The sequence below is a fragment of the Homo sapiens genome, chromosome 8, assembly GCF_000001405.40.
Source record: "Homo sapiens chromosome 8, GRCh38.p14 Primary Assembly".
NCBI classification, from domain to species: domain Eukaryota; kingdom Metazoa; phylum Chordata; class Mammalia; order Primates; family Hominidae; genus Homo; species Homo sapiens.
Window position 1 is genome coordinate 41,426,728 of NC_000008.11, and position 5,345 is coordinate 41,432,072.

Here is a 5,345-nt window from a genome sequence, read left to right on the forward strand (position 1 = left end):
AAAAAGAAATATACTCAAAAATAAATATTGAACTCAATAATACGCATGTTTACATATGCACTGATGTCTTATTTTACTTTGAAATGGATGGATAATGGAAAAATGCATATTGAAACACATGTAGCAAACTGCTTATGGTGAAATCTTGGCAGTGGGTTTATGAGTTTTCATTGTAAAATTCTTTAACTTTTCTACATACTTAGAATTTTTCATAAGATATTGAGAAAAACCTTGAAAAACAAAAATACAAGAAAATGGGACTTTGAGGTAATAGAAATTTTCTTAAGACAAAAATGCACAGAAGATACATTTTACCACATTAACACAAAGAAACATTGGTCAGCAAAAGACATCGTGAAGAAAGGGAAGAGTGAAAATAAGCACCTGTAATCCCAGCACTTTGGGAGGCCAAGGCGGGCAGATCACCTGTGGTCAGGAGTTCAAGACCAGCCTGGCCAACATGGCGAAACACTGTCTCTACTAAAAATACAAAAATTAGCCAGGCGTGGTGGCACACACCTGTAATCCCAGCTTTCAGGAGGCTGAGGCAGGAGAATCGCTGAAACCCGGGAAGCAGAGGTTGAAGTGAGCCAACATCGCACCACTGCACTCCAGCCTGGGTGACACAGCAAGACTCCGTCTCTAAATAAATAAATAAGTAAATAAATAAATAAATAAATCTGAATGATCCATGTGGGTCCAATGATACCATCACATGTCCTTATAAGAGGGAGTCAAGGGAAACAACTACCGAAGTGGAGACGGTGCTGCGATGTTGCCAGCAGGTGCTGGATGATCACTGTCAAGGACTCCAGGCAGCATTAACAGCTGAAGGGAACCGACGGTCCCCTCAGAGCATCCAAAAGGGGTCATTCCTGCCAAAATCTTGCCCTTCACACAGGAAAACTGCTGTCCCAACTTCTGACTTCCAGAGCTTAAGGGAATACATTTGCATTGCTTTCAGCCACGAAGTTTGTGGCGATTTGTCACAGCAGCAATAGGAATCTGACACAGGGAAGAAGTGGCTCTGAAAGTTCTACGTTGCTGCCAGGGCTATACATTGGTTTAACCATTTTAGAAAATAGTTTGTAATTATCTGGATAAACTGAAGATGTGTGTACCCTATACTCAGCCATCCCATGCTAAGACAAATACTCCGAAGAAATTATTGCATATATGCACCAGGAAACAGGCAAAACAATGTTTATAACATCATTACCACAATAGCAAACAAAGAAACTACCTCAATTTCATAAGCAGGCAAATTTATATATAAACTATGGTGAAATCCTATAACGGAATATTTTACAGCATGGAAAATTAGTGAAATACAGCATTAGTACTGATGACTCTCAAAAACTTAACTATAGGAGGAAAAGCAGGTCTGGGAAAAATGCATACTTTATTAAAATACGTTTATATGTATTCATATATATTTACCAAAACAGGCAAAATTTTAAAAAATATTACTTAGAGATACATATATATAGAGAGAAACTATAACAAAAGAAACAATGAGGGCCGGGCACGGTGGCTCACGCCTGTAATCCCAGCACTTTGGGAGGCCAAGGTGGGTGGATCACTTAAGGCCAGGAGTTCAAGACCAGCCTGGCCAACATGGTGAAACCCTGTCTCTACTAAAAATACAAAACTTAGCTGGGCATGGTGGTGCACACCCGTAATCCCTATTCAGGAGGCTGAGGCAGGAGAAGCGCTTGAACCCAGGAGGCAGAGGCCTCAGTGAGCCGAGATCACACCACTGCACTCCAGCCTGGGTGACAGACTGAGACTCCATCTCAAAAAAAAAAAAAAAAAAAGAAACAATAATTATAAAATTTAAGAGTAGTAGCCTCTGAGGAGGGAAAAAGAAAGAAGTGACAATAATGTCCTATTTTCCACACCCAGGTACTCTTTTTCTCTTTTTATCCCTTAACTTGCCAACTCCATTTAAAAAAAAATAAGAAATCTTTAAAATTCATCTCCTTTCTCTCCCAACTCCTCTTAAAACATGGTAAGATAGTGCATTCTTAGGATTCTTTTTCTTTTCTTCTTATATTACACAATTCCAGAAAATTTATTTATCCTATTCACTTGTTTCAAATATACATATTTTTTCCGACTTTTCTCTCCCTTAAGAGTTTTCTGTTTCTTTATTGTTTTGTCTTGATCTTTTCTCAATATTTTCTTCAGACAAAATAAGGGATTACATACTCTATGAATTCTTGTCCATACACAAACATCTTATTTCCTGTAGGTGAATCATGTCTTCGCTAGGTATGGAATTCTTGCTTGGAAGACCTTTATTTCAATGGTCTACACAAGTTCACAAGTTCTTCTCCTGTCTTCTTTTTTTTGGAGACGGAGTCTCGCCCTGTTGCGCAGGCTGGAGTGCAGTGGTGCTATCTTGGCTCATGGCATCCTCCACCTCCCGGGTTCAAGCAATTCTCCTGCCTCAGCCTCCGGAGTAGCTGGGGTTTCAGGCGCCCACCACCACGCCCGGCTAATTTTTGTATTTTTGGTAGAGACAGGGTTTCACCATGTTGGTCAGGCTGGTCTTGAACTCCTGACCTCAAGTGATCCACCTGCCTCGGCCTCTCTACTAAAAATACAAAAAAAATTAGCCATATTTGGTGGCACGCACCTGTAATCACGGCTACTCGGGCCACAGAGGCATGAGAATCCCTTGAACCTGAGAGGAGGAGATTACGGTGACCTGAGATCGCGCCACTGCACTCCAGCCTGGGTGACAAAGTGACTCTATCTCAAAAAAATAAAAATTGGTCAAAGGATATGAATAGGCAATATGGAAAAAAGCAAGTCCGAATGACCAGTGAGCATATTAAAAAGGTGGTCAAATTCACTAGTAGTTAGGGAAGTATAAGTTAAAATAACAAGATTTTATGTTACACCCATCAAACTATAAAAAATTCATAAAGCGCTGTAACACCTATTGCTAGTAGGGATGTAGGGGAAAGGGTGCTTTCATATCTCGTTCCTTGAAGTGTGAAGTGTTACTGCTTTATGGAAGGTGATCTGACAATTTAAGTTTTTTTTTTTATTTTAAAGTTTAAAATGCATATTCCAGCTGGGCACGGTGGCTCACACCTGTAATCCCAGCACTGTGGGAAGCGGAGTTAGGCAGATAACCCGAGGTCAGGCATTCGAGACCAGCCTGGCCAACATGGCAAAAACCCTCCTCTACTAAAACTACAAAAATTAGCCAGGTGTGATGGCAGGCGCCTGTAGTCCCAGCTACTCTGGAAGCTGAGGCAGGAGAATTGTTTGAACCCAGGAGGCAGAGGTTGCAGTGAGCCGAGATTATACCATTGCACTCCAGCCTGGGCGACAGAGCAAGGCTCCGTCTGAAAAAATAATACTAAAATAAAATAAAATACATATCCCTTCAACCCAGCAATTCTGGTCATGAGGATGGGTCCCACAGAAACACAATCACCAATTTGAAGGGCGTAGGCAAGAACGGTTACTGCAGCGTGTTCATACTGGAGAAAACCCTGGAAACGAAGTGACTGTCCTTCCACCAGGGGGCGCTGCAGTCAGGGTGCAGACTCATCAGGAAATACCATGCAGCCACTTTAAAAAGTGTAAAAGGTGACACCAGTGTTTCTCAGCCTTTTTCTATTATCACCTTCTAGGAGCCTCCTTAGACATTTTCCCCCTAATTGCTCCTCCATGGAATTCTAATACCACAAACATACAGAAACAAACAGCATATCTATTTAGGTACTGTATGTGTCTCTGTGCTTTATACGTAAAAAAAGAGTACGATTTTTTCATACATCCTCTGAGAAGCAATTTTCACCCTCTCTGGGCACGCTGTCACTCCCGTTGGGAATGCATGAACTACATCCATTGAGTTGGAAAGATTTTCTCAGGACATTTTTAAGTGAGAAAAGCAACATGCAGAAAAGTGTATATGATTCCAACTGTAAAATTAATCAAAAAAGCTTCTATGAGTATTTGTGTGTGTGTGTGTGTGTGTGTGTACATGAGATTAAATGAATAGGAAAAAATATGGAAGAATACATTACAGGTTGTTAATATAAGATTACCTTGGAAGGCCGAGTGCGGCAGTTCATGCCTGTAATCCCAGCACTCTGGGAGGCTGAGGCAGGTGGATCACCTAAGGTCAGGAGTTTGAGACCAGCCTGGCCAACATAGTGAAATCCCATCTCTACTAAAAATACGAAAATTGGCCAGGAGTGGTGGCACGTGCCTGTAATCACAGCTACTTGGGAGACTGAGGCAGGAGAATCGCTTGAACTCAGGAGGCAGATGTTGCAGTGAGCCGAGATTGTGCCACTGCACTCCAGCCTGAGTGATAGAATGAGACCCTGTCTAAAAAAAAAAAAAAAAAAAAAAAAAAGGATTACATGGGGTTGGGGAGACCTGATGTAATTGGGGACATGGGGTGGGGGGACAGAAAAGGGAGACAAGCAAAGGAAAAGGGAGAAAGGGAATGTACATGTAATCTCATGTACACACACACACGAAATAAAAAGTACAATATAATCAAATTTATATCAATTATACATGCAGAAAAGATTTGTTTTATTCTTCAGAGAGATGTTCCAAGGCTCTTGCCCCGTGAGAATGAAAAGGAAGAGAGTGATCTCAGCCTACTCAGAAGCAGGGAGCGAGCAGCACCCGTTCCTCCCGCAGGACAGGCTGCAAACGCCCACGCTGCTGCTGTGCGCCTCCCCCAGCTCTGTCCACCCTCTTTCCAATGGAAAGAAAACAAGAACATACTCTTCTGACATTTTTGACTCTTCCAATTTTTTATAATATAGCAGATTCAGTTGCGGACATGAAATATCTCATGTAAGAGAGGCTTTCCTTGGTTCAAGGAGAAAGGGGAGCAAGTCATATGAACACTTCCAGGATCACCCTTCTTCCCAAAACTTTATGCTCTGTTGGCCTAGAGTTCTTAGTTCCAGAGGGAGGAACACTTCCACCAGGAGAAACAACAATGATTCCACTGAGCTGGAAGTTAACATGCCACCCAGCCATTTTGGACACCCCATGCCTCTGAGTCAACAGGCAAAGGGAGTTATGGTGTTAGCTGGGGTGATTGATCTAGAGCACCAAAGGGAAATTGGCCTACTACTCCACAATGGAGGTAAGGAAGAGCATGTCTGGAATACAGGAGATCCCTTTGGGCACCTCTTAGTATTTCCGTACCCTGTGATTAAGGTCAGTGGGAAACTACCATAACCCAATCTAGGCAAACTGGCCTAGATTGGCCAAACCCAAATGGCCCAGACTCTTCAGGACTGAAAGTTTGGGTCACCCTGCCAGGTACAGAATCATAACCAGCTAAGGTGCTT

General features: G+C 42.2%; 1 annotated feature.

Moving 5' to 3' along the window:
* Positions 3,343-3,637: an enhancer, noted in NCBI's record as "tiled region #9460; K562 Activating DNase unmatched - State 12:CtcfO". NCBI's record gives its function as "activates a minimal TATA promoter and a strong SV40 promoter by Sharpr-MPRA in K562 cells {active_cell/tissue: K562}" and the evidence as "EXISTENCE:reporter gene assay evidence [ECO:0000049][PMID:27701403]".